The sequence below is a fragment of the Homo sapiens genome, chromosome 15 (assembly GCF_000001405.40).
Source record: "Homo sapiens chromosome 15, GRCh38.p14 Primary Assembly".
In the NCBI taxonomy this organism is placed as follows: domain Eukaryota; kingdom Metazoa; phylum Chordata; class Mammalia; order Primates; family Hominidae; genus Homo; species Homo sapiens.
In genome coordinates this window covers 66,760,807-66,788,515 of record NC_000015.10, presented here as the reverse complement: position 1 = coordinate 66,788,515, position 27,709 = coordinate 66,760,807, and the positions used below count along the sequence as shown (strand labels likewise).

At 51.7% G+C, this 27,709-nt stretch overlaps 1 protein-coding gene across 3 annotated transcripts in view, besides 7 other annotated features; it reads right to left on the bottom strand.

Moving 5' to 3' along the window:
* The window catches only part of SMAD6 (SMAD family member 6), an 80,614-nt gene continuing 58,571 nt past the window's right edge, over positions 5,667–27,709 (bottom strand). For all 3 annotated transcript variants that reach the window (NR_027654.2, NM_005585.5, XM_011521561.3), the window contains one exon: positions 5,667–7,519. Coding sequence is in view for 2 of the 3 variants with exons in the window: in NM_005585.5 (NP_005576.3) it covers positions 6,981–7,519 (539 nt within the window). In the remaining variant the exon portion in view is untranslated. The remainder of the gene's footprint in view (positions 7,520–27,709) is intronic.
* Positions 14,052–14,101: an enhancer, noted in NCBI's record as "active region_9617". NCBI's record gives its function as "activates an Ori minimal core promoter by ATAC-STARR-seq in GM12878 lymphoblastoid cells {active_cell/tissue: GM12878}" and the evidence as "EXISTENCE:reporter gene assay evidence [ECO:0000049][PMID:35858748]".
* Positions 17,798–17,942: an enhancer, noted in NCBI's record as "145 bp enhancer 143 fragment used in the MPRA reporter construct; PK_construct_1673". NCBI's record gives its function as "activates an SV40 promoter by MPRA in HepG2 cells {active_cell/tissue: HepG2}" and the evidence as "EXISTENCE:reporter gene assay evidence [ECO:0000049][PMID:23512712]".
* Positions 17,863–17,876: a transcriptional cis regulatory region, noted in NCBI's record as "HNF4 motif; enhancer activity is reduced when this motif is scrambled". NCBI's record gives its function as "necessary for full MPRA enhancer 143 activity {active_cell/tissue: HepG2}" and the evidence as "EXISTENCE:site-directed mutagenesis evidence [ECO:0005528][PMID:23512712]".
* Positions 18,186–18,747: an enhancer, noted in NCBI's record as "H3K4me1 hESC enhancer chr15:67062107-67062668 (GRCh37/hg19 assembly coordinates)". NCBI's record gives its function as "activates a minimal SCP1, AML or CMV promoter by ChIP-STARR-seq in primed H9 embryonic stem cells {active_cell/tissue: H9 hESC(primed)}" and the evidence as "EXISTENCE:reporter gene assay evidence [ECO:0000049][PMID:30033119]".
* Positions 21,809–22,377: an enhancer, noted in NCBI's record as "H3K27ac-H3K4me1 hESC enhancer chr15:67058477-67059045 (GRCh37/hg19 assembly coordinates)". NCBI's record gives its function as "activates a minimal SCP1, AML or CMV promoter by ChIP-STARR-seq in primed H9 embryonic stem cells {active_cell/tissue: H9 hESC(primed)}" and the evidence as "EXISTENCE:reporter gene assay evidence [ECO:0000049][PMID:30033119]".
* Positions 22,378–22,947: an enhancer, noted in NCBI's record as "H3K27ac-H3K4me1 hESC enhancer chr15:67057907-67058476 (GRCh37/hg19 assembly coordinates)". NCBI's record gives its function as "activates a minimal SCP1, AML or CMV promoter by ChIP-STARR-seq in primed H9 embryonic stem cells {active_cell/tissue: H9 hESC(primed)}" and the evidence as "EXISTENCE:reporter gene assay evidence [ECO:0000049][PMID:30033119]".
* Positions 24,834–25,563: an enhancer, noted in NCBI's record as "H3K4me1 hESC enhancer chr15:67055291-67056020 (GRCh37/hg19 assembly coordinates)". NCBI's record gives its function as "activates a minimal SCP1, AML or CMV promoter by ChIP-STARR-seq in primed H9 embryonic stem cells {active_cell/tissue: H9 hESC(primed)}" and the evidence as "EXISTENCE:reporter gene assay evidence [ECO:0000049][PMID:30033119]".

Below are 27,709 nucleotides of genomic sequence, written 5' to 3'. Positions count from 1 at the left end.
CAAAATTAGCTGGGCATGGTGATGCATGCCTGTAGTCCCAGCTACTCGGGAGGCTGAGGCAGGAGAATCGCTTGAACCCGGGAGGCAGAGGTTGCGGTGAGCCGAGATCATGCCATTGCACTCCAGCCTGGGCAACAAGAGTGAAACTCCATCTCAAAATAAATAAATAAATAGGTTAGAGAGGCTACAAGGCTGTTTCAGTCTATGTCGCTAGTGGTGATCAGCCTAGCCTGAACACCCCCTCCCCAACCCCCCAACAGCCTCCTCCAAACCTCCAAATGGGCCAGAGTGACATGCACCCTCCTCTAGGTTCTCAGGGCTGCTGGAAGTCCTCAAGGGCTCAAAATCCCAGGGTAAAGGATTTAAAAACCTTGTCTTCATTTGCCCTTCATTAAAAAGCATAGGGAATGCAACAATGAGAATATGCTTCATGCCACAGGACTGTGCACTTAAAAATGGTTAAAACGGCAAATTTTATGGTATATATATTTTACCACAGTAAAATGTAAAAAACATGGGGAAGATAGAAAAAGTTCTGGAGATGGATGGAGGTGATGACTCCACAACAGTATGAATGTATTTAATGCTGCTGAACTGTTCACTTAAAAATGGTTAAAATGGGAAATTTTATGATATATATATATCTATCTCTATTTCACCACAATTAAAACAAAATGAAACACATGATCTGCACCCCAACTCTTCTTGCCTCTCAACTGCTTTGCTCAGGCCAATGCTGGCTTCCCAGAAGCCTTTGCTGCATTGCTGAGGCTGGCTCTGGAAGGAGCTTCAAGTCATGTATTGGCCTCCCTTTGCTACTGCCTTGCTGTGTGACCCTAGTTAGCACCCTGCCCTCTCTGGGCCTCAGTTCAGGGATAGCCATGGCACTAGACACACTCTGAGGCCTTTCCCAGTTCAGATGTTCCCTGAGTCTGTGGTTCTAATTCATCCAATGGACTGTCCCCCCACCCCGCCCACCTCCCACCACAAACCAGGAATTCTTTTTTTTCTCCTGTACTTTAACAGATGCAAACAGCAATTCTTGCCACCACACTCTCAAGAGGGTAGAATAAGGCTGCAGGCCATGAGCCCCCAGAGCCTGGGCCTGAAGGTGGGGGAGGGGTGAGTGATCTTAGGGGCCTGTAGGGAGAAGCCAGCTGGGGGTTGTCGTGGAGACACATGATGCTAATAAACATAACCCCCTCTACATGCATGTTTGGTCCTTTAGAGTTTATATAACTCGCCCACATCCACTACCTCCATGGTCTTTTCATTCCACAAACATCCAGGGAGTCCATCCTTTGTATCTGCCACTGGGCTGGCCCATGGCCACGGGGGCCAGTGGGATATGAGATATCTCTGGCTCTCAGGAGTCTCCAGGGGAAGAAAGAGTAGACAGCAGTGTGGTCAGAGCCTGGATGGGGTAGGCTGGGAGATGATTGAGAGGAGGGGACAACGTGGGCAAAGGCCTGGAAGACACAGACAGACAGAGAGAGAAGTCTGGAGTGCGGTGTTTGAAGGGGGTTGTCTGGGTTTGAGATGGGGCAGAACCACATTCCATCAGGGCCTCACAGGCCACTCTCAGAGGCAGGTGTACATCCTGAGGGTACAGGGAGTCATCCTGGCACTTGGAGGAGAAGCGGGTCAGATTTGGGTGCAGATCATCCCTGCAGGTGGAGGATGGATTGGAGGTGGCAGGAGAGGGGCAGCAGCTGTTAGGGGAGGGACGTGACCATGGATCATTGATTCTACTCCCCAGCTGAGGAAACGGGTTCACACAGGTCAGGTGACTGCCTAAGGCCACCAGTAAGTTCAGGGATCTGGATCTGAGTCCTCACACTTGAGGAGTCCCCACACCAAACCTTTACTTACCTCCCTGAGCTGCCTTCCAGGCCCCCAAGTCATACCTGTGAACACCTGATGAGTGCTTAATACAGGCCAGGTCTGAGTGCCTGACAGGCACGAGTTCATCTAATCCTCCCAACAACCCTAGGAGGTAGATACTCTTATATTATTATTCCTCACTTTTACGGATGAGGAAACTGAGACAGAGAACTCAAGTAACTTGCCCAAGGTCACACAGCTGCTAAGTGGCAGGGTCGGGATTAGAACAAGGCAGCTGCAGCCATAGGCAGTTAGGGCTTTTATGCCTCTTGCAATGTGTGGGATGGGAGTTTGCCGGAGGGGACAGATGGGCAGGAAGTGGACTATGGAAGTTTGGAGCACCAGGAAGTCCCCAGAGATGAATAATGTGTGTGCATGCTGTGTGACCTTGGGCCACTCACAACCCCTCTCAAGGCCTCAGGTTTTCTCATCTGAGACAAGAACCCAAAATCTCCAGGTTCCCTTCTCTCTTCCCATCTGTTCCTCTCATTCCTTAGGTCAACCCTTCCATTCCTACCCTCAACATACACACCCAGAGACTAAGGCAGGGGAGGTGCTGGAGATCGGAGTGGGGTATGGAATAGAGGGGAGAGGAGAACGTGGGGACTAACCCTTCCCCAAAAACCTAGTCAATTGCAGAAATCCCCCTGGGGCATCCCTTGGATTTGGGGGGCAGTAAGTCCTACCAATCTTGCCTCCCAGGGCCTGCTGGGACCAGGCTCCCCTCAGCAGTCTGCAGAGACCCAGGACTTGTTTAGAAAGTGTCTCCATTGGAGCCTGAGTCACCAGATCCCTGGGTGGTCTAGGGGAAACCACAAAGTTACTGCGAAGCAACAAGACTAGGAGAGGAGGCAGGACGGCAGGTCCTGCCACCGCTGAACTCAGCAGCTAGGCCAACTCCCAGAACTTGGTTTCCCCATTTGTAAATTGAGGAGTTGGAACTGGACTCTCAGACCCCCGAGAAGGCAGCCACAGGGCCTCTCCCTGACACTTGAGGCCACCCGAGGACCTCAGGAAAGTCCTCAGCTTCGGAACAGGAGATAGTTTCAAGGTTGAGATCCCTGGGTCCCCAGAATTCAGTCTTTCAGGCATGCATATTGTCCCCCAAGGGACAAGCCCACTCCAGCAAAGCCCATCACAACCAGGGCATGGGGAGAGCTCCAGACTGGCATTTGAGACGGGGGCTTGTTCCTTCCTCCAGAGAGGTTGGACAAATGACCATTAATGTAAGCATCGGCTTCTTTACCTGTAAGGACTCACAGGCAGTGAGTTAGTGTCACTAGTCATTGCTCCAAGCACATCCTCACAGAGCAGCCTGCTATGAGCCTGCAGAGTTCAGACAGAAGGGCCAAGGCCTGAGCAGTGCAGGGCAACAGACTGGGTAGGGAGGCATGGGGACTCCCACGCTCAGTTCGGGCCTGGGGGTTGCAATGGGAAGGGGTGTAGGAGTTTGGGTTGGCAGCAGAACTAGGAGAGTTTTCCTTGAAGGCCAGGGTGGGGCCAGTGAGGCTTAGCTCTAAGAAGCAAATGTCGGCCAGGCACAGTGGCTCATGCCTGTAATCCCAGCACTTTGGGAGGCCGAGGTGGGCGGATCACCTGAGGTCAGGAGTTCGAGACCAGCCTGGATAACATGGTGAAACCCTGTCTCTACTAAAAATACAAAAATTAGCCAGGTGTGGTGGTGAGCACCTGTAATCCCAGCTACTCGGTAGTCTGAGGCGGGAGAATTCTTGAACCTGGGAGGCAGAGGTTGCAGAGAGCTGAGATCATACCATTGCACTCCAGCCTGGGCGACAGAGCGTGACTCCGTCTCAAAAAATAAATAAATAAATAGCAATGTCATCTGCCTGGCTGGTCGCCCTCTGAGAATCTGGGAGACAGGGAGAAGATGTCAACTTTCAATCTGCATGCAATAGTCTCTAGGGTAGGAGGCAGGAAACCTGGGTCACACTCCAGCATTCCTTGACTACAGGCTTGAGATGAGCACCTCTCTGCTCCGGGCCTGTTTCCTCACCAATAAAATGGGGCTGTGAACCCATGATGATGGCAGATTATAATGATCACTTCCACATCCAGGCATTGCAGGGTGACTGGCTGCTTCCTCTAATGGCAAGAAGCCCCTCTTAGGAGACTGGCATTGGTAGGTACCAGGCTCAAGGGGAGCCAGGATGGGTTCAGGGCTCAGGGGACCCAGCAATGATCCTTAAGCTGCCCAGGTCTGCTTGTCTCCCTGGCCCACTGAGAAGCAGCCCACCTTCCCCACTGCCCCCTGAAGATCACCCCAGCTCCTCAACTTGGTGTTTGAGGGCTGCCCAGCCCTTTCCAGCTCTGGCCCTGTGTGAATAATGGCAGCTGTGTCCTGGTGACAGACCAGGTAGTGCGTGGCGTGCTTCACTCTCCCGATTCGTACCTACTTCTGAGGTGGGGACAATCTTATTCCCATCTTACAGATGGGAACACCAAAGCACGTAAAGAAGTTATTAAGTCACTGAAGTCACTCTGAGTGGCAGAACTGGGATTTGAACTCGGGTAGCCTGGCTCCAGAGCACGAGTGTCTGGAAACTCCCCTCCTGCTTCATGGTCTCTGCCACCCCCAAACTCTTTGCTCCTGCACCCTCTGCCACCCTTAGCCTGCCAGCTTCCCGCTCATTTGTCCTGTGAGGACCGGAGGTCAAGGCACTGAGCCTCCTAGGAGGCCTCCCGATTACTCCTCCTCGGCACTCCCATGGAGTGGTTGCTTATTCCTTTTGGCTGTGCACCCACAAACTGCCTGTGAGCCTGAGGTGCCTCCCGTCCTGCCCCTACAACAAGAGCTCTCTGACTATTCCAGTGAGACAGCCATCTCTGCTGAGTGTCTTCAGGCCAGGGTCTCAGTGCACAGCACCCTGGCATGGCCAGCTGTGGTCAGCCCAGAAGCACCGGCGTGCCTCGGTATGAGGACAGAATTACAGGAGTGGGGACAGTCTATTCATAAATAACTTTGGGAAACAAAGTTAAATGGTTTTTCTTCTTGGAGGATGTGGTGGCCATGAATCCTGTCTCCTGGTATTCATGTCCTTGTGTAGTCTCTCCCACTTTGTAACAGAGATGGTTTGTATGACCAATAAGTATGGCAGAAGCGATGGTATGTCACTACTGAGATCTAGTTACAGAAGACAGCAGCTTAGGTTGGGCATGGTGGCTCATGTCTATAATCACAACACTTTGTGGGGCCGAAGTGGGAGGATCATTTGAGCTCAGGATTTCAAGACCAGCCTAGGCAACATGGTGAAATCCCATCTCTACCAAAAATACAAAACTTAGCCAGACATGATGGTGTGCACCTGTAGTCCCAGCTACTCAGGGGCTGATGCAGGAGGATCACCTGAGCCCAGGGAGTTTGAGGCTGCAGTGAGTCATGATGGGGCCACTGCATTCCAGCCTGGGTGACACAGTAAGACCCCGTCTCAAAAAAAAAAAAGAAAGAAAGAAAGAAAGAAAAAAACCCCAGCAACTTCACCCTTGCTCTTTTGGATCATTTGTTCTGGGGAAGCCATGTTATAAGTAGTCCAGTGGAGATGCCCACATGGCAGGGAACTGAGGGCTCCTGCCAGCAGCTACATGAGCGAGCTTGGAGCAGGTCCCCCAGACCCAGTCAAGACTCAGATGACTGCAGCCCTGGCCGACAGCTTGATGGCAACCTCACCAGAGACCCCGAGCCAGAACCACTTGGCTAAGCTGCTCCCAGATTCCTGACCTGCAGAAACTGTGGGAGATAATAAATGTTAGTTATTTTAAGCTGCTAAGTTTGGGGATAATTTATTATGCAGCAAGAGATAATACACAGGACTTCTCAGAGCACTTAATATGTTAATATAAATCTCCAAGAAAAAAGATATACAATGAAACATTCCTCTTAGTTATCTGGCCAAGGAGACTTTCTTTTTTTGAGAATATTCTTCAGAAAGCTGATCTAATGATATGGCTCTGGTCCTACAATTCCATGTAACTTCTAACCTTGATTTTGTCTCATGAGCAAATCATTTAACCTTCCAGAACCTCAACTTTTCCCTTTCACAAAGTAGAAATAAACCATCTGCCTTTACATAAATCATTAATACAGCCCTGGATGGGCAGATTCTGAGCTATTTTTGGCTGGGGGGTGGGAAATAGCCTGTGGAGGTCCTAAAAAGATCTACGGGGCTCGAGATGGTTCTCTGCAAGGTAGCAGGTGGGCTCAAGGCCCATTTCAGTCTTTGTTCCCCAGGCCATTTCCACAAAATGGTGAGAAATAGTGTCTTCTTTTAGCTTGCTCATAACTCAAAGATGGGGGGCATGGACCTGGGCCTTTCTAGGCTAGGGCATGAACCTCCTCCATCAGACTGGAAGAGCTTGTCCAGGATAAATGGCCAGTGTATTCTTTTCCCCACCGCCATCCCTATCCACTGGACACCCCATAGCCATGGGCAGGAAGGAACAACAGAACTTTCTCTGGTTTACTTAAGAGTAAATGTGACTTTCCTCCCTTTTCAATTTGTTCTGTCTTTATCCAATAAAAGTAAAACTTGAAAACTGAGGTCAAGTTTCAAGGTACATGATGGGTCAGAAATCCGCTGAAGCCCTACCTGCCCCTCTTTGTAAAAAGAAGACAGTTTAAAAAAAACTATAATGCGAATACTTTATTATCGAGTGACTGGTATTAGCTTTTTGTCTGGGCATTAATATCTCAAAAACCATACACCAAACCCAGGCTTTTCCACCTAGCTCTGCTGTATCATTTTCTTTATATATATATATAAAAAGTAAGGAAGAGGAAGGAGGAAGAGAAAGAAAATATATCTGTATTGAAAGAATTATAAGCCAAAGTGCGTCTTTCTTGTTTTGTCCATATACACACATTGCACCATACATAAATAATTACATTGTAAAAATGACTCCATAATTACAAGTATAATATATATTTCCATATAATATATAAAACTTTATATTAAATCTAGGTAGATGATATCTGGGGGGTTTTGTCCGTGGGGGCTGTGTCTCTGGGCATCGGCCCCTCTCGAGGCCGGCAGGTGGCGGTGGCCGCGGCCTCCCACCCGCCCCTCCCGCCGGGGCCGCCACTATCTGGGGTTGTTGAGGAGGATCTCCAGCCAGCAGGGGCAGGAGGTGATGAACTGCCGGGAGTAGCAGGGCCCCCAGCCCTTGGCGAAGCTGATGCGGACGCTGTTGGGGTCGTAGGGGCCGTCGGCGGCGTCGGGCTCGGGCGCGTGCTGCAGGCCCGAGCGCTCGAAGTCGAACACCTTGATGGAGTAGCCGGGGGGCACCTTGCGCACGACCAGGGCGCGGCCGCCGGGCGCGTCCAGCGTCGGGGAGTTGACGAAGATGGGGTGCTCGCCGCGGTTGTAGGCCCACACGCCGTCGGGCTCCTTGCTGAGCAGGATGCCGAAGCCGATCTTGCTGCGCGTTCGCCGCACCGACTCGCTGCGCTGCTCCAGGTTGAGCTGGCCCAGGCAGAAGCCGCTGCCCTGAGGTAGGTCGTAGAAGATGCTGACGGCCTGGTCGTACACCGCATAGAGGCGGCCCACGCGCGTCCGGTGCTCCCAGTACGCCACGCTGCACCAGTGGCTCGGCTTGGTGGCGTCCGGAGACATGCTGGCGTCTGCGGGACAAGCACAGGGACCGCCGCGTTATTCTGGGTGGGGAGGTGGGAGGCACCGAGGAGCGGAGGTGGGCACTGCTGTCTGCACAGTGGGAGCTGGGTAAGGTTTCCAGCATTCAGCAGTCATGTGGGCACCGTGTGCCAGGTTGTCCTCAGGAAATATGGCGCACAACGGGACATCTCTTTCACACACACAAGCTCACACAAAGGAGAAAACAAAGGTTATGAGCCACAGAGTGCAAGCCAGAGAGCACCTGTTGTGTGCTAGATGCTGCGGACGCAGACATGAACCATGCACACCCTGCCCCTGCCTCTTCATGCTAGCAGGAGAGACAGACAACTGCCTGCACGCCCCCAAAGGAGGGGCTGACTGTGGAGCAACCATCACGGACCCGGCGTGGAGCACTGTACTTCTTACTCTTCACAGCACACAGGACTCACTTGGTCCTCACGATCACTCTGCAAGGACGCCACCTTCTCCTCGTTCTACAGAGGAGGGCACCCCGCCAGAATTTGAACCCACTAGTCCAAGTCTCAACCTGACAGAGTAGGGTTAGGCTATTGGGGGATGGCGGGGGAGGTTGAAATCACATTAGAGGACTCAAGCACAGGGAGGCGGGCTGGGGGTGGGAGGAGTTGCCCCCAGGATCCCTTCCGGCCTGGAGCAGTGGGATTCCTGTGGTGGCCTTGTTATAAATATGACTGCTTGACTGCTCCCTGACTCAGCCTTAGCCTCCTGGTACCGCCCACCTGAGTTGGCTTTCTTGGCAGGAAATGCAGGTTTGTACCAGAACTGCAGCTACTTCTGCATGGCAGAGGAGCTGAGGGTCCCTAAATGACAAAGAAAATGGCTCCTTAAGGGCTCTGGAGCTGCCCAGCAATTGAAGGTGTGTGCTGCTCCTCTCTGGGCCTCAGTTTCCCCACTGTATAGCAAAGGGGTAGCTAAGATGTTACTGAAATCCCTTGTCACTGACTCGGGCCGTCTGTGTGTCTGGAGGAGTTTAACAATTTTCTGAGACCAAAGTTCAGACCAACACAGGCCAGGGTGCTCCCTGCTCTCATGTGGCCAGCTTCTCAGATTCTGACATCTGGCCTTTCCTTTGAGCTCACAGCTCTGAGAAGCAGGCAGGCACCTATAACTGCCCAGTGAGGTGACATGATTTGCCTGCCATGCCTGCTTCCACACAGGTCTCTGGCCTGGGCCTGTGCAGAGGGAGGCGTTCTGCTGGAGGCTTGACAGAGCAAAGCAAAGCAATTCATGGCTCTTTTTCTGAGGAAAACTGATCAAAGTCCAACCAAATCCCAGAGGACAACACTTCTAACAGCTTCACCTGGGAGCCTGAGTGAGGCCAGCTCTGGACGCCTTTGCCTTGGTCTTGCCCCTGCCTAGAAGCCCCAGAAGAACAGGGTGGCAGGGCCCCTGACATCCCCTTACACACTGGGAGGCCCGCCCAGCCACCCAGCAGGAGGCTGTCTGCCTCAGGGGCCTCCTGGAGGCTGACTGCTCTGCTGTGGCTTTGGGCTGGATACAGGTTTCATGAGTGTGCCCCTTGTCCTGGGCCTGGCACTGAGGTCCCAGACACAGGTCCCCAAGTCTGCTGGGGGGTAATCCAAGTCCTCACACCAGCCCGCAGCTTGGATCATTTTGCCTCAGAGTCTCCAGTGAGGCCTCTGATGCTTCCAGCTGATGGTCAGGAGAGGAGGAAGAGGTCCTGCATCCTGCCCTCGACAGAACTGCCCCTTAGCCAGTGGGCAATAGTGACAGAGACAGCTCAAGCCCTTGGGAGGTCACTAGGCTGCAAGCATCAGGCCAGTCCCAGCAGGTGGGCAGCTGGGAACAGCCAGACTCTGAGCTCCAGCCACCCCACTCCAGTGCCCCTCTCCCCAGCCACCCCACTCCAGTGCCCCTCTCCCCAGCCATCTACCTGGCACAGGTCTGGGAGTCCCCAAGGGCCAGAAAAGCAGCACCATGCCAGCCTAGCCACGAAACTGCAGCACCCACACTGCCCACCAACCAACAAGAATTCCACGAGTGTGTCAGGCACAGCAAGGTGGGGATGCAAAGAAGCGATGCCTGGAGTATGCTGGGAGACAGGACGGGCAACGGCATCCATGAGTGCCTTCTACGAGCTGGGCCCGTTCTTCACAACAGCCTCATCTCACCTCTACTAGCAGCCCATTCCACAGGTGAGGAAACTGAGGCCCAGGGTATACACCAGTGAATGCTGGGGCCGCCTTGGTGCTAGGCCACACTCTAGAGGGGAGCTCTTCTCCACACTCCAGATAGAGTTCTGTCCTGGCTCCTTCCTAAAACCTGCACACTGAGCAAGTCCCTCTACCTCCCTAAGCCTCAGTTTCCCTATATGTAAGCATGACTGCTCTCATGGTCCATGAGCCCTAGAGGTTACTATTTACAAGCTGAGGTGTCACTATCCCCACTCTTGGAGGACTCACTTTACTGTCTCACTAAGGGAGGGGTCACTGCTGCACCTCTTCACAGACAAGGCTCTGAGACAGCTGCCCAGCCACAGAGTGACAGCTCTGCCCCACCCATGGAAAAAGGGAGAGTCTAGCTGGGGAAGGACAGGGGCACAGGGGGCAGGGGAAGCGACTTTCTCTTTCCCAGCTTCCAAAAGGTTTCTGGCTGGGAACTCTGGGAGGCTGAGGCAGGAGGCTCATTTGAGCTCAGGAGTTTAAGCCCAGCATGGGCAACAAAGCAAGACCTCATCTCTAAAAAAACTTTTAAAAATTAGGTGGGTATGATGGTGTACATCTGTAGTCCCAGCTACTTGGGAAGCTGAGACAGGAGGATTGCTTGAGCCCAAGTTTGAAGCTACCGGGAACAGTCATTGTGCTACTGCATTCCAATCTGGATGACAGAGTGAGACCTTGTCTCAAAAAAAAAAAAAAAGGAAAAGAAAAGAAAGTTTTTCAATTCAAGGACAGGTGGGACTTCCTATCCCCCTCCTCTCAGTTCCCTCCACCCCAGCCAGGCCAAACTCCTTCCATCCCCCCAATCAAAACCCATGTCCCCAGCCTAGCCCCAGCACACCTTATGGTACCCTATGACTGGGGATGAACCCATAGAGCCGCCTTCAGGCCTTGCCTGCCCCAGCCATCCAGCTAAGGGACACCCTGGGCTTGAGCCAGGCCCCATCCCCTGCGGCTTCCTTGGTTGAACAGACTGGGTTACACATCATCAGGCCTGCGCTCCTGGCCATGTCTCCCAAATTCAGGGAGACAGACTGCCACTCTGGGAAGCCCTCTCTGACCTCTCCTTCCTGGGGCACCTGAACTGCAGCCCCTCCCTTGGCCTTAACAGGTGTCTGCGCTCCTGGTCAGTGCCCCCCAGTTGGTCTACACTCTCTGACTGGTAAGGGGAGGGGTGGGTCTCCATCTATCCCAGGGCTGCATATATTCCTTGAGCTCAAGCAATCCTCCTGTCTTAGCTTCCTGAATAGCTGGGACTGCGATGTACATCATCATGCCCAGCTAATTTTCAAAAGCTTTTTTGTAGAGATGAGGTCTTGCTTTGTTGCCCAGGCTGGGCTTAAACTCCTGGGCTCAAGTGACCCTCCTGCCTCAATTACTTTTGCACCAACCTAATAAAAGGGAAGGGGACAGGAAATAAAATATGTCCCAGTGCCTAGACATTGCCCCCACCCCACACCCCACGGGGAATCCTGCCCAGCAGGTAGGCTGCTGGGCTCAGGCCCTAGGGCACTGAAGCGTGGTGGGCAAAAACTGGGGTCTCTTGTCTGATCCAGAGGGTAAGCCACCCACTCAGCCTCCCTGTCCCCACTCAACTCTCAGTCCCAGGGCGTCAGAGCTCGAGTATCCGCTGACATTATCTTATCCAGTGAGACCCAACACTTCAGGCTTCCACAAACCAACACATGTTTTTAACAGGGGAGTTGGGAATGACACAGGGCGACCACTGCTTCGTTTTTGTTTTTGTTTGAGCAATGGTCTCACTCTGTCACTCAGGCAGAAGTACTGTGGTGCAGTCATGGCTCACTGCGGCCTCGACCTCCCAGGCTCAAGCGATTCTCCCTCCTCAGCTTCCCAAGTAGTTGGCATTAGAGGCACACACCACCGGGTTTTGCCATGTTACCCAGGGTGGTCTCAAACTCCTGGGCTCAAGCAATCTGCCTGTCTTGGTTTCCCAAAGTGTTGGAATTACAGGCATGAGCCACTGCTCACCCAGACTACCACCGCTTTATTTTGCCATGTACAGACTTATTTTCTAACTTATTTTTATTTCTGTCACCATGGACCAATGAAAACTTGGTCCTGAGACTGGCCTGTTGGGACCACTAATGGAGTCTAATAATCTGGTGCCCCAAAGATAGCATCCTGGGGGGCGTCAAGGGACTTGCCCAAGTACACACAGCAGCAGGTGGCAGACCTAGGGCCAGAACTTGAGAGCCCAGAATTCTACTCTAATCCATGCCACATGGTCCAAAAGGTTTCACAGTGAGAATGACCTAAGGCTGCCACCACTGACTGGATATGTGGCCATCGATAAACTGCTAAACGTCTCCAAGCCTCAGTCTCTGTATTTGTAAAAGGACTGATTCAATAATTAAGTACCCCACTCACCACAGTCCATCTCTGAATTTTCTGGAAACTCTGGCAAAATCAAGTGGGTGCAGAAGGAAGGAGGTGCCTTGTTTACGGGCTCCAGTGTTGGCCTTACCCTTCAGAGGCCAGGGATCTTTAGTGGGGTTGGGGGTCATGGCCCAGGGTCACTGCCATGGAAGGTCTCAATAGGACTGTGGATGACAAGGCCCTTTGCAAACCGCAAAGCACTTTACAAATGTTAGGGGTTAGCCCCTAGCCTGGCACCTGCGGTGAAAGAGGTGCCCAGTGAGTGAAGGAATGGAAGAATGAAGCAACAAATGTCTGAATGTCTAGAATGAGCCCTGCTTTAGCTCCATTCTCTCACACACATACGTGCATTCAGATTTCATGCGGTGTGTCCAACACAAGCTGACGTGCTCTGCAACACTATGAGTGAGAAGGTGGGCACCCCCTAACCCATGGTCCCCACTCTGTACTTCCCACAGCTGCACAGCCCCCTCCCCCTGTGCCTCTCAGTCACAAGCCTGGGCTGCCACTCAGGTGAGGGGACAGTCTCTTACAGAAGGATCTTTTTCTCCTCGTGGTTCCTAGGCTGTGGTACTGCCATCTCCCACGGCCATCAGCCTAATTAGGAACCAGCTCTTTAATTGCAAATAAATACCAAGGAGTCAGACACGAGTGAACAACATCAAAGATGACCGAGCTCTGACCGAAACTCCCGCTCACTACCCCCTGCTCAGGGCCTGGCCTAGTTCCCAGCCAGACTCTGGGTCCTGCTGGGAGGGTTCCAGGGGGAGGAGGAGAGGAGCTGTGTCTGGGGTGGATCTGGCAGAGTGGCACTAGCCTGGGAGGAGTCCTGCCTCCTGGCCCTGATCCAGCAGGTCATCTCCCTCCTCTGGCCTCAGTCTTCCCATCCGAACAATGAGATCATTACTCTCCCCAGCTCTAAATTTCCGTGATTTAGTTAATGTTGCTAGGACTAGTAGCTCTAGTCCTAACCACCCAAACCCAGAAACCAGCTCAGATATCTATCAACAGAAAACCAATAAACAAAAACTAGGCACATCCAGCCAATGGAACACTACTCACCAAGAAAAAGGAACAAGCTACCGAAACCTGCAACAAGGTGCATGAATCTGAAGGGCATCCCATTGAGCACGAGAGGCCAGACACAGGGTTCGCGGTGTGTTTCCACCAAGACAAAACTCTTGAAAAGGCAAACTAATCTACGGCGACGTAAATCAGAACAGTGGCCAGGCATGGTGGCTCATGCCTGTAATCTCAGCACTTTGGGAGGCTGAGGTGGGTGGATCACCTGAGGTCAGGAGTTCGAGACCAGCCTGGCCAACATGGCAGAACCCCATCTCTATTAAAAATACAAAAAAATCACCCGGGTGTGGTGGCGGGCGCCTTAATCCCAACTATTCGGGAGGCTGAGGCAGAGAATCGCTAGAACCCGGGAGGCGGACGCTGCAGTGAGCCAAGATTGCACCACTGCACTCCAGCCTGGGCAACAAGAGCGAAACTCCGTCTCAAAAAATAAAATAAAATAAAATAAAATAAAATAAAATAAAATAAATCAGAATAGTGGTTACCCCTGGGGAGAGGGAGACAGCTGGGAAGAGGCACAAGAGAACTTTCCAGCATGATGGAAATATCTTATTTCTTGACTGGAACCATGGGAACTTGGGCATCTGTGCTGTAAAAAGCCACACCCTGGATACTTAAAGAACGGTGGATTTCATTTTAGGTATGATACCTTGAAAAAATTAAAAAGAAGAAAGTGGCAATGTCCTGTGGCTGTCCTAGAGCGGCCCCAGCAGGGCTCCACAGTGGCCCAGGGGACAAGCCCTGTTCCCTCCCGGTGGCACCCACATTCCTGCCACCAGAGGGTGGTGGCTGTCTGCGCCGAGGAGGAGGTGGTGACTGGTCCCAACAATAGGCCTTCTCCCCTGCACAGAAATCGGCCCCTCTGATGGCTGGCATTCTTTTCTCTACGCCTCTCTGCCCAGGGAGGGTGCTGCGAGCCCAACATGTAATTTTGTGGGGGTGCAGGGACACCAAGGGAGCTGACTGCAGTCTGAGGGAGGCGGGGAGTGCTGAAATCCCAAGAAAAGCCTTTTCGCTTCTTCGAATCAGCAGTTCTCTGTCAAAACAAAGGGCAGGAACGTTCCTGTGTGCTCCCCCGTGGGCTGCATGCTCCAAGAGCCTGAGCATAAACTGCAGCCTGCTTTCCTCCGGCTCCCCGCTTTCCTTTTGGCCAGACTGCCTTGGACTCAGCCACCCCTGAAGGAACCAGCGTTGTGCCCAGCTTAGACTCAAAGGTTCAGGGCATTCGTGGGAGGCTCAGCCCGAGTCCTCTGGGTCTTCAGGGGTCTAGGTCAGCAGGGGAGCAGGCGGTCCCTACTCCTTCACCTTCCAAGTCTTTGCTGCTGCTTCACACCCACCTGGGCCATAGCAACCTCCCTGGCTCTCCCAGGGCTGGACCAAAAGGGCCTGCTCAGCCCCTCATTGATGGGCCTGAAACAAGGGCAGACAGGCCCAGACCCTACCAAGAGCGAAGAAGAGATATTCAAAGTCTCAGAAGCCCAGAGAAGTTAAGTGACTTGCCCAGGGTCACCCAGCAAGTTGGTGGCAGAGCTGAAAAGGGGCCCAGGGCTGGCTTTTCCAATCCCCTTTGCACAGGGCTGCACTGAGGCCTCCTGCCCTCCTGGAAAACTCCTTTCTTCTGTCCCGTGTCATGCCTGTGGCTTCAAGTTCCAGTCCAACCGGCAGCTTTTCATCTGTGGCTCCCAGGCCTGGGAGTAATTACGTGGCCCTGCATCTGGTTAACCTAACACCCCTTTTAAAGCCTTGTTTGCCCATTAGATAAGTAGTTTTTGTTATCAAACTTAGAGGGAAAAAGGAGTTTCCACTTAACTCTCCTTTGTCATTTTAAGCTGCAGAAATGGCTTCAGGTTTTGCAGCAAGTCTAGAGATGCAGCATTAATTAGAGGCTCTTTTTCTTTTCTTTGTGAAGGGAGGGGAAGACCAGTTCTTTATCCACCGGGCTCCGGCAGTAAAAGCAGAGAAGGAATGTGTACAGGGCCATGTTAATGGTCAACAGCTTAGAACGAGCCTCTCTGCTGAACTCTTTCCAAACGCTGGGCCCAGCTGACAGGAGTTTCCTCTTACTCGCTCCCACCCACCCCTCCCCACCCCCCACCTCAGCTCCAGCACCTTTGGCTCCTAGAGGAAGCCGGGCTTCCAAGGGGAAGTTCCTAATCGGTCATTACATCACGGGCGGTCTGGCCACCACCGCAGCCTGCCTGCACAGGGCCCACCTCAGGGGCTCTTTTGGCGGCTGGTCTCTACACTGGCCACCACCCTCCAGGCAGCTGCTCAGCTAGTCGGCTGGGGGTGGAGGGATGCCCCTAAGACAGGGAGTGTGATGGGAACAGGAGGGCAGCATGACAGAACCAGGAGGAGGGAGACTGAGGAACATGCCGTCCACATGGCCAAGGCGCAAAAACAGGCTCAAAGAGGTGAAGTGACTTGCCAAGATCACAGTGGAAATGAGCGACACAGCTGGGACCAGGATGTCTCCTGCACAGGGTTAAAAGAATGGACTAGGGAGCAAAGGTGCCTGCATGTGAATCCCAGCTCTGCCACTCAGCAGCTGTGAAATCTTGGACGAGTGACTTCACCCTTTTAGGCCTCAGTTTCCTAACCTGTAACACAGGGATGCAATCAGTGGTTACTTCATCAGAGTGCTGGGATTAATTTCAAGTGTGTCAAATAATGCCTGGCTCAAAATAGGCACTGCATAAGTTAACAGCTATTATGATTACTAATATTATTACTATCATGCAGCCTTATCTACATGTGTATATAAATTATATGATAGATTGACTCAGCCTGTATAGTTCATAAGGGTATTCATATTCAGTAGTAACACCTGCAAACATAATATGTGCCAGTGGAGTTGAGAATCAAGGGGAAATAATAATAGTCACGATAATAATATAATAAACTAGCTCACATTTAAGAAACCTTTACCAAATACCAGGCAGTGTCTGAAACCCTTTAAATGCACTACCTGAACATATGTTAATTCTCCCATCTTAAGATGAGGGAGCTGAGGCCTGAAAGTCCGGAAACATACCCCAACCTCTCAGCCAGGAAGCTGCAGAATTGGGATTTGAGCTTCCATCTATCTAGGCTTAGAGATGTGGACTCTTTGCATTACTCCTGTGGCTGCAACCTGTGGGCTGCAAAATCCCAGAAGACTTCAGGGCAATGGCACAGAGACCATGCTATAAGAAGCTAGCCACATCCACTCCAAGCCACGTGGGGGTTCTGCAAACACTGGACGTGAAGAGGGATCCTCGAAGGTGACAGTGCTAACGACACTGCCCCACGACATGCTGCCCATCTTCCTAGGAGGGCGGTGGGCTTTTCAAATATCACACCTTAACAGCTGTTTCTGGTACCCTATGCAGCCCTGGAAACACACTTTTTGGCTTTTGAGTGTAGTTTCTCCCCCACACTCAAGCATTCTACCCTTCTAAAATACAAAAATGAGTATTTTGTAGATGGGCTACAATCATAATAATTGATCTTGGGAAAGGGCTGCTAGCCCCGGCTAGTCCCAGGGAAGTGGGAGGCGCTCTACACGCTTCATTCATGATCCTTTTTGAACTGTGCAAGTCCAGGAGGCAGAATCATCCCCATCCTCAGGACAGACCCAAAGTCAGAGTGCAGCGCAGGAATCCCGACCCTGAGCCCACCTTGGTGCTGCCTCATATGCTCCCTTAGCTCTCTTGGGTGGTCCTCAGAGTCCCCCAGTCGCAGGAGGGGTTTAGGAGTGATCTGGGGTATCCTGTCGGTGGCCACCTAGCTGGGCTGTACCCAGCCCTCTGGAGGCCAAGGGTTTTCTGCCGGCTTTTCTCTGCAGAAAGGCCTTTCTTTCAGCCTCAGCGCCCTGACTGCAGCCTGCTTGGCCCCACCTCTCTGGCAGAACAAAGTGGCGGCCTGGGCTGTGATGGGTAAGGTTTCCATTCTTTTATCTCTTGCAGTATTCAAACAAATCCTGAACAGATGAACTCATCTTGCAACCCTGACACAAAACAAGCTTTTTATTCACCCAGGTCCTCCTACTACACAGGCCTGCTCAGTGTCTCCTCCATAGACCGTTTCCCCAGGAGATATTAGGCCTTACCACTCCAACGGGCAAGGGGACCCACCAGAGGATGAAACCGGAGGCCCCACTCCCATCAGCACGCCTCTACCTGCCCTCCACCTGCAGCTCACCGGTCTGGCCATGCCAAAGAGATCGTCTCCCACCCGCTAAGACTGTTCCAGGTTCCCTGGGCCCAGACAGCATGGCTTTTCTCTCCAGGTCCCGGGGCTCTGTGGTACAAGCTCCCTTCACTACACTCTCCGCAGGCAGCTATAGCTTCGAAGAGCCACGCGGAGGCTGGTGGTAGAGCTATCTCCTCCATCAGAGGACTCATCCATCAGACTCTGTGCCAGAAACAGTGGTGCTGCCCTCTTAAAAGAAACTGCAACTACTTAAGCCTGAAAAGGAGAAGACCACCTGGCAAGCAAGGCAGGGAACCCCCTCAGGCCCTTGGGGAGGAAAGGAGCCCAGGTGAGGGAACTCTGGTTCCCTGTGTCCTAGAGGGAAGGAGGGTGGAAAGGGAGAGCCAGGGCAAGATAAGCAGATTATAAAATCAGCCCACGTTTTGAGAAGGAACCAGTTTCTGTAACAAAGCCTCTGAACTTTGCTCCCATTCCAAGTCCTCTTTTGTTTTATCATAAAGTCGGACTCTGGAGTGTGTTTGTTTGTTTTCTTACTCAGAGACCACCTGGGGTGGGAAAGCCTTGCTTTCATTATTGCCCCTGGAAAGGTTCTAAAATAACAGTGTGCAAGACAATGAAGCTGGGTACCTCGGTCCCCAGGTGGCAGTTGTGAAATGGGAAGGGGCCCCCAAATCCTCCCAGCTCCATGGGTCTGCACTGCTTATGGCCAAACTGCTGGGATCACATATAAACCAGTGCCCGCACCGGCCTTACATCAGGCCGCGCCGGTTCTTACATCAGGCTGGGCCTGAGTTCTCATCTCAGGCATTAAATGCCCAAGTTCACCAACTGAACCCAACCCTGAAGTCCCTGGTTAATCTGAGACCACAGAGACAAAATTGGCCCTTTGGGGGTTCAGATAGGGACAGCCTGGGTGTGCATCAGAGGTGCAGGGATGCTAGTTTGTAGCAGATGATGGTAGGCTTCAAGAAAGCCCTTCTCGGCCGGGCGCAGTGGCTCACGGCTGCAATCCCGGCACTTTGGGAGGCCAAGGCAGGTGGATTGCCTGAGGTCAGGAGTTCGAAACCAGCCTGGCCAACATGGTGAAACCCTGTCTCTACTAAAAATACAAAAATCAGCTGGGCGTGGTGGCGGATGCCTGTAATCCCAGCTACTTGGGAGGCTGAGGCAGGAGAACCGCTTGAACCCGGGAGGTAGAGGTTGTAGTGAGCCAAGATTGCGCCACTGCACACTGGGCAACAGAGCAAGACTCCATCTCAAAAAAAGAAAAAAAGCCCTTCTTTGGGCACATACTTCATCTTGCAGGTTCCCAGAGCTGAGAGAACTTGAGGCACCTCTAATTGTCTTTTATTTCCCAAATACAATGTGTTTTATTGGCAAACCTCCTGCCTTAAACTTCTTCTTGGACCTAATATAAAGCCATAAAAGCAAAGTACCTAAAAATTGCCCTCAATTAGCCTGTCTCAGCTCTCAGGAACAGGCACCCACACTGGTGTAGAAATGTCCCAGGGGGTAACCAGGTAAGGTACCCACAGCCCAGCTCCCTCAAATCCTTGGCCTCACCATCTCCTGCCACCAGGCCGCTTAGCTCCCTGGGCTTTGAACACCCCACCCAGTGTGAATTTCATCCATCCACTCTCTTGATCTGGAATGCTTCCTGAGACTACAGATGATGGAGAGGTGAACTGGTGCAAATCTTCACAGCTATGTTACCGTGGGCAGGTGACCACATCTCTGAGAACCAGGACCAGCTACCTACTTTTGAGGGCCCAGTGAAAAATGAAAACGCAGGGCCCCTTGTCCCAAAATTAGGAAGATTTTCAAGATGGTGAAAGCACAGCATTACGTTAAGCAGAGACCTCTGTGAGCAGCAGCCCTCAGTTACCCCACACATCCAACACCCGCGGAGTCGGCCCTGCCAGGGGCTGGTTTCCTCTAGGTGATTACCTAACTCACAGGTTAAGGGGTTTTCGAGAAGGGCTTGACAACAGTACCCGGCACTCGATGACCAGGAGTTTCTTTCCCCATTCCCTAATACTTGTCAGAAACTTGCTTAACCATCCAGACACCACTGTCACTTCCTTTGGAAAGCCTTCCTCAGCCCCTGGGTCTGAATCACACACCCCTCTTCTGTGACACTCAAATTTATGCTGTCAACAGAAGGGTACGTGTCTCCATCCAATTCATCCACCAGCAGGCTGGCCTGGGATTCAGCTGGCTTGCTCTCCCCTCTCCTCCCCAAGGACCTGGTACTATGTCGCCTAACAGAGGTGCTCTCGGCAATGCAGAGCTGAATATGAAAACTCAAAGGCTGGAAGGGCTTTTGAAAAGTCATCTGCCTCCTTTCAAACCCAGCCCCAGGTTTGAAAAAGGCACTGTGGCAATTATTGTTGCCATTTAACAGAGAGTACTACTGATGCTCAGAGGTCAGGATGTTAGGTAGGTGAGGAGAACCATTGTCCCCATTTGCTGATCCTCCTGATGCAGCCTGGTTAACAGAATGGCAAATGAGCTTACTATGTGTGAGCCTTGTTTCAGTGGCTCGAAATAAAATGAAATAAAATAAAATCACCTAAAGTCTACAAGTCATCTTACCTGGCCATGGGGGTGGATTTAATTTCTCTGGCTTGCTAAGTCTATGAAAGTAAATGGAACAGGGAACATAGCTTTGAATGGAAGAGCCAAAGAATGGGTGGAGAAGCTGGTTTTCTTATTTGCAAAGCTCTCAAACGTAAGCTTCATATCTAACACCAGTTGGTTGTTAATTTACCAACTAGACAGAATCAGGTGACCTTTGCAAATCAAATATACCTGCCTCGATTTACACTAAAGATGTAGGCTGGATATGGTGGCTCATGCCTATAATCCCAGCACTCTGGGAGGCCAAGGTGAGAGGTTCACTTGCGCCCAGGAGTTCAAGATGTGCCCTGGCAACATAGCAAGTCCCCATCTCTACAAAAAAATAAAAAATTATCCAGACATGATGGCATGCACCTGTAGTCCCCCAGCTACTCTAGAGGTTGAGGTGGGAGGATTGCTTGAGCCTCGGAAGCCGAGGCTGCAGTGAACCGTGGTGGCACCACTGCACTCCAGCCTGGCCAACAGAACAAGACCCTGTCTCCAAAAAAAAAAAAAAAAAAAAAAAAAAAGATGCAGCTTGGGATAATCACTCCAAAATTAAAAGTACAAAGGTGGGACATTAGATAATAATTCCTGCATTAAATCCTTTCCTTTAAAATAGCCTTTTGTTATACAAAAATACATGATCCACACCTCTCTGGTGAATGCAGAGGCCTATATACTGAATTTTCTTAAAGTGAGGATTGCCTCGATCATTCTTGTGTGTTTCTGGAACAAACCGGAATGCTTTATAATTAACAAAAAGCTAATATTGACTAGAGAGATTATTAATCCACAATTAAATACTAATATTTGCTGCACAGAATGCAGTAACATGAGACTTAAGCGTTCCCAACAAAAATGTTGCAAAATGCCCTACTGGCTTGGCAGAAGTACATGGCTCTGCCATGGCCACCCGTCTATTCTCTGTGACTGTGCTACTGTGCAGGCAAGTTGAAGCTGCTTGACGCATCCATGCCCAAGCTCCCAAGCTGCCAGGAAAGAGCTGGCTTGTTACAATGATCAGGGGTGAAGGGTGCAAAGGAGGGAGGGAGCTAACCAGTATATCCATCCCACCAGGCTAATAGGCAGACACAGCCCCACAGAGACCCCAGGACCCACACCTCTATCCCAAGTCCAAGACTGGTTTCCAAGGCAGAAGGAGGCCAAGCTTGGTTCCCACAGCCCATGCCAAGAAGGCAGTTCTATCCTCATTGATGGTGATGGTGGGATGTTCTTTTGAACTGTGGAAGGTTTCCCAATTCTACAAGCCCATTCATAAATGACCTTGTTTTAGCTTATGGAATATAAAGCTCACAGAGGTTTGGTGACTACCCCATGGCCCACAAGGTTAATGACAAAGCAGGATCAGATGCTCCTTCCAATGCCACTGCCTCCCGCCCAGCATCTTGAAGAAGTTGAATCATTATCTCAGTAAGAGTTTCATATTTCTCAGAGTAATTCTTTAGCCTGTGTCTGGATAAGAGCACACACTGTGTGACTAACACCAACACAGCAATAACATGAGGGCAGTGATCACAACTGTCAGCCGGCTTCTATTTGGTCTTTTATTGCCAAGGTTAACTTTTCAGTGAAGATGGGCATGCTATGTTTTCCATGATCCAGTTCATAATTCTGGATTTCTTCTAGAAAAGACAAGAGTCCCAGGGAGACATCTGGGCTGAACTCGATGATGGCAATGCCCAAGTGCCTTCTAGAACTGTTTCCCCCTCCGGAGGGCTGTTTGCAGCTACAGGGACCTGTGTGATAGGTGAGAGGAGGGGGTGCCTTTCCTGAATCACACAGAAGCCTTGCTGGGGTCTACCCAGCAGGCAACTTACATGCATGGGCCCAGCAAACATTGGCAGAGATTCACTAATAGGGACCCTGTTTAGGTTGCTTCAGACACCCTCTGTTCTCACTGGGTCTCCTGTGGGAATCCAGTGGCTACTGAGCATCTATGTCCACGTATCCCATCTCATTTAATGCTGAGAACAATCCTAGGAAGCAGGTATCATTTTACAGAGGAGGAAATGAAGGCTCAGGGAGGTTAAACCCCCAGCCTAAGTCACACAGCTGACAAGCCCCAATCCAAACCCAGGGCAGCCAGACCCTCAGACATTCTTCCTGCCATTTTTCTTCACAGAGTGCGTCCTGGACGGTGCTCAACTTCTAGCCTGTACCTAGTTCCAACAGGCAGTCAGCACAGTCCCTCTCCCTGACATCTCCCACGGTTGTGACTTGCACCTCCTCTACGAGGCTGGCGCCTGCCCCCTGCCCCCCATCCCTTCCACCTCCCTTCCCTATGGGCACAAATGGCCCTGCAGGCTGCCAGCGTCTGCATTCCTAGAGCACATGCCCACTAAGGAGGATCCTGAGTAATTCAGCCCATAAATCATGGCCATTGTGAATTTCCCTTTTAGCCACAGGCAAAGTCAAACTTTTCCTTCCCCCACTGTAGTTAACCACTCTTTGTTCACTGTATCTCTCTCAGCTCCGTCTGGCTGGGGGCCAGCTCTCAATTATTAATTAATCTGGGAGGCGCAGGTTGCATTCCTGGCCACCTAACCACTTCCTCCTCAGTGGGGAACTTGCAGGCCGGGACTTTTGAGTTACATCAAGTGTCGCACAACATCCCAGCCCTGTGTTGTGGCTACTGCTGCAAGAAAGGACGTCTAACACCAGAGTTAAAAATAACAGCAGAAAACCCGAATACCCAGAAGTCGCTTTTCCCAACTCTATCCCATAGCACCAACCCAACCTGCATGCCCCCATCATCATAAAGCCACAATGTGACTCGGTTTCTCTTGTCTGTGAAATGGGGAGATCTTCCCCCATCAAGTAAGGCAGTGGTCTGTGTGTTTGTGTAGGAAGGGAGTAATCAGTGAAATCAATGAGCTCTCCCCTCTGGTAATTCTTACTAGCTGGAAAGGGATACACCAAGACTTAAAGTTAAGAAGCAATCCTGGCCAGGCATGGTGGCTCACGCCTGTAATGCCAACATTTTGGGAGGCCAAGGCAGGCAGATCACGAGGTCAGGAGATAGAGACCATCCTGGCTAACATGGTGAAACCCCGTCTCTATTAAAAATACAAAAAAGTAGCCGGGCATGGTGGCGGGCACCTGTAGTCCCAGCTGCTCGGGAGGCTGAGGCAGGAGAATCACTTGAACCCAGGAGGCAGAGGTTGCAGTGAGCCAGATTGCGCCACTGCACTCCAGCCTGGGCGACAGAGCCAGACTCTGTCTCAAAAAAAAAAGAAGTCCTGAGCCTGAGCCACAGCAGGTGCTGCTTCTCACCTCATCCACTCGCTTTCTCCTCGCTGGCTGAAGGAAAGTGCCAGGTGACTGGGGTAGTGGGGATAACAGGGGTGAGGGCTGCAACTCAGCCTTATTAAAGTCATTCAAGCATCTTCAGGGGTGGTGAGGGAGAGGATGGGAGTGTGATCCCTCTTTGCTGGGTCAAGTTTTCAGGAGGCCTTTGCATGGACAAACACCCCGAGAAACAAGGGGACCAGCCTTGGCGTGAAATGGAGCCCTATGGCGGTGAAACCCAGGGGTGGAATCTGAGCAGTGTCTTTAATTCCTAAAAGTAATAAAGGTCTTTCCCTCCTTTTAAGTTACAAGTTAGAATGGGTACTTGATGTCAGCAACAATGCTGAACCTTTGCTGCTAGCTGGATGGAAGACAAAATGAAGCCGTGAGATCAAAGAAGGACAAAAATGATGGCAGCAACCTATCATAGCAAGGACGAACACTTACGTGGTAAATGCCATCGAGTATCCTAGTATCCTTTTGGTCATTTCCCTCCTCTGGGCCCATACACAGCTTACAGTATGTCAACCTTACCCACAGTATCCACCGAGCTGTCAACTGTGAGTTCCAAGGACTCAGCACCTTAGGATATATAGTCTAGGAAAGATCTTTAAATCTCATGCTTTCTGCATTCCATGTTATATCTGCTTTTGATGTGACAAGACAGATGACTTGGCCCCATATCTTCATATACTCTAGGGAGGAAGGGACGCTTTTGTCTCTTGGCTTCTCTTCCCTAAATACTGAGGCTTTCGGATAAAGCACGCATCCCACCAAGATAAATTATTGTGCACATACAATAAAGTACCATTAATTAGGACTCATAAATCCAGAGTTTGTAATAATTCCGAAAGCAGCTGGGTCGAAGTAAAAAAAAAAAAGTTTTGATAAACAAATGCAAAATATAAATAAGGTTCAGGAGAACTGTTTATCCTATTAGCACTATATAAACAACTGGCATACCAATTACAAATCGCTCTTATCTGCTCTCGAAAGCAGATCTCTGCATGACCTCTAACGGGAAATATTATCCAGTTAGTATCACAGTCTACAGTATTTGGAAATCACAAAACCTGGTTTCTTAGACAGTATCCTTTCCAATCACCCACCACTCACTCAGCCTGAACTGGTGAGGAGCCCCTGAGCTGTCAGCGTTCTTTCTCTGTGTATCTGGAAGGGAAGTCCCGTGGATGGCCGAGGCGCCTCAGCCCTGCTCTGGTAGTCAGTGGCTGCCCAGGAAGGAGTGGCAGCCCTTGGCTCTGGCATGCCAACATGCCACCCAGTTATCTCCATGCCCATCTTCAAGAAGCAGCGTTGCCTAGGGCGTTTGGCCAGGGGGCTCTGCCAACTCGGGCTTTTCCAAATGGGCAGGGTGGGGCCCCACCCCTGTGTGGAACCCCTCAGGCGTTAACTGCAGTAGGTAAACCAAGGACAGCCTGTTTGTGGCTTCCTTGGTGATTTACATGTTAGCTGGGCCCCAGGTTCTCTCCCTGGGAGGAAGCAGCATTTTCAACCCTGGAGAGGACAGAGGTGAGGGGCCCCAGATAAGCTGGGGAGTGTGGAGTGGCAGGAAGAGGCCCTGGGCGAGGCTGTGAAGCCATCGCGTGGAGAGGGTGCGTCGGTCCTGGCCCGAGAGGGACAGACTGCAAGGCCCCAGAGAGGTGGGCAGGGGGCCAAGCTGGAAATACCGAGGGCTGCTCCAGCTCAAGGAGACGGCCCTGCCAAGTCGGGGAGGCGGCACTGACGAGAGAATGGCAGGTTCCGGCTGGGCCAGTCCCCAAGGGCACCAAGTCAGGAGCAACTGCCTGTGTCTCTGGGCACGTGGGGGCTGGAGCCATGCCAGGGAGACCCAGAGCCGCCAGTCTCCCCAGGGTGCCCCTGTCCTGGCGCTACCCTGCAGCCCACCAGCCTGAGGAACCCTGAGGAGTGCAGAGCACCTCCAAGTGGCATGCTGACCTTGGGCAGGGAGTCAGGCCTGGCCACCAGACTGGAAGATTGCTCTTTTCCCCTCCACCTTCCATCTCCTAGTTCTGGAGGTGCTCAGCAGATCTCACTGAGCCCACTGTGCAAGGGGTCCCTGCTGCTGCTTGCCTTGAGGGCACTTTGGACATCTTCTGGTTCAGCAAGACCCTGACTGTACCCACTGCGTGAAGGAAGCAGCCTCAGAAGGGGATCCCAAGACTGGCAGGGACCTCTCTGCTGTGTCCTTTGGGGACAACTCCTCCTTTGGGACAGGGAAGCCAGGTATATTGGTGAACTCCTTTTTCTCTCTCCCTCTACCAACTCCTCTGCATCTTCCCCTTGGGCTTCAAAAATTGCTATTGTAAGACCAACAAAAACACCACAGTTGGGGCTTGGCACTGTGCAAGCATCCTACCACCAGATGGACATTCTTCCACAGACACCATGGGTTCTGAAGCTGACCCTTAATCAACGGTACAGTTGATGGAAGGGATTCTTTATCTATATCTCTGGAATCTGAGCATCCACTGAGTTCAGCCCTCTTTCCTCTCATGGCGTTTACTCTAAAACAGGCAGACCAACTCACTTATTTGTGAAGACCCACCAAGAACCACTTCCAGCAGGTCCTTCTTGCTGGAGTCTGACCACCTCTGCCTCCCCCAAAGTGCCCCCTCCCGACAGTGCTCCCACCCCACCACGGAGGGCTGCCCAGGCCTTGAACACAGGGAGCTCCACCCAGAAACCCTGGAAGCAAATTCCCTGAGGGGAAAGAGTGGGTAGGATGTTTTCAAGAACCACTCATTGTGGGTTTGGGTTTCAGCCAGCAGAAGTGCCACTGAGATGCCAGAGAGGCGTTTCCTTGAGACAGGGCCCCTCTCACCCGCTTGCTAAGCGCCTACTGTGTGCAAGGATGCACCCACGCAGGCATACTGGAGGAATGATTGATGGTGCGGCAAGGGAGGCACTGGAGGTGGAAGTGAGGAGAAAATAACGGGGGAGTCCAAGGAAATCAGGGAGACTCTTGTTTTTGTAAACATCATTCCTTCCTTCTGGTCAGTTCCAAGTTCTTTAGTGGGCTATACACGCATTATTTTTTTCTCTCACATCAAAATAGCCCTCCCTCAGACTGGAAGAAGAACACAAACATTCTTTGCTGCTGGCCTGCAGGAGGTGAGCAGTCGCCTAGGGCTAAGCTGACTGCAAGCCTGAAGACGCCGCAGCCTGGGAGTTCTGAGCGTCACTTCCTTGCTCCCAATTCAAAATGGACTCTGGTGTCTGGGGAATCCACACACCACCCCAGTGGGCCATGTGAATGTCATGGGGTGAGGTGGGCATGCCATTCTTGGGTTGGTAAAAGCTCTGAAAAGTACAGGGTGCCGTGGAATGTACCGTCTAGCAGCAAGGGCGTGTGTATTTCAAAGAAACGTGGAGGAAGCCAGGGGAATCTAAAGGATTCCTTGGGAATGTCTGGGCTAGAGATTATTCAGCCTGACCTCCTCCCTTTACAGAAGAGGGAACTAAGGCCCAGAGAGCAGAGATCACTCATCCAAGGTCATCCAGGAGGGTAGGGCCTTATAGCTAGGGCTGCTGCCTCGGAGGAAGGGCCCCCCGTCCTAGATACCACCAGGCCCAAGGAACGGAGACAAATAATCCTGGTGAGTCCAGCCAACATGAATTATTTTTGCAAAATGGTCTGTTTATTTGTTCTTGTGGGTAGAAGGGAGAGAGTCCTTCCTCACATCGCTGTCGGAACAACTCCCTGCCTGTGCCTGCAAAGTGACCCGCCCTGGCTGGCCAGCACCACCACCAACTCTCAGGCAAAGGATGTGCGTTGCAAAAATGGGGCAAAGTTTCCTATTCTGAAGATAACATTGTAAGACACAGGAAGTCTGAGAGCAGAGCTTGGTTTCCAGAAAGTCTCTGCACACCCGTTCGCAACCCCTTCCATTGTACGGGGCTGCTAGAGATTCTGAGGCTGGGGGTGGGGCAGGAGGGACAGGGACAGTGCTAGGAAGTGACAGAAGCCACAGACCAGGTAAGAGTCCAGAGAGGGGTTTTCCCGGCTCTCAGGCTCACTGGACCTCGTGGCAATCCAGACGCCCCATCTGAGTTCCAGCTTCCTCAACTGAAAAATAAAAGGGTTAAAGAGGCAGTGTTTCTCCTGCCCTCGTGTCCAGATTCCCAGGCCCCGCCCCTGGAGGTTCTCATTCATGGGTCCTGGGTGGAGCCCGGGAATCTATGTTTTTAACAAGATTTAGGAGGCCCCTTTTCTGACTCTGATATGTCATGATCCCTCGAGAGGAGGGTTCAACAGCCTGGCATGGTGGGGAGGGAGTTAGCTTCCTCCAGGGAGGGATGACAAGGGCAGGAAGGAGACCAAACCAAGTCAACTTCCTAGCATGAGACGGA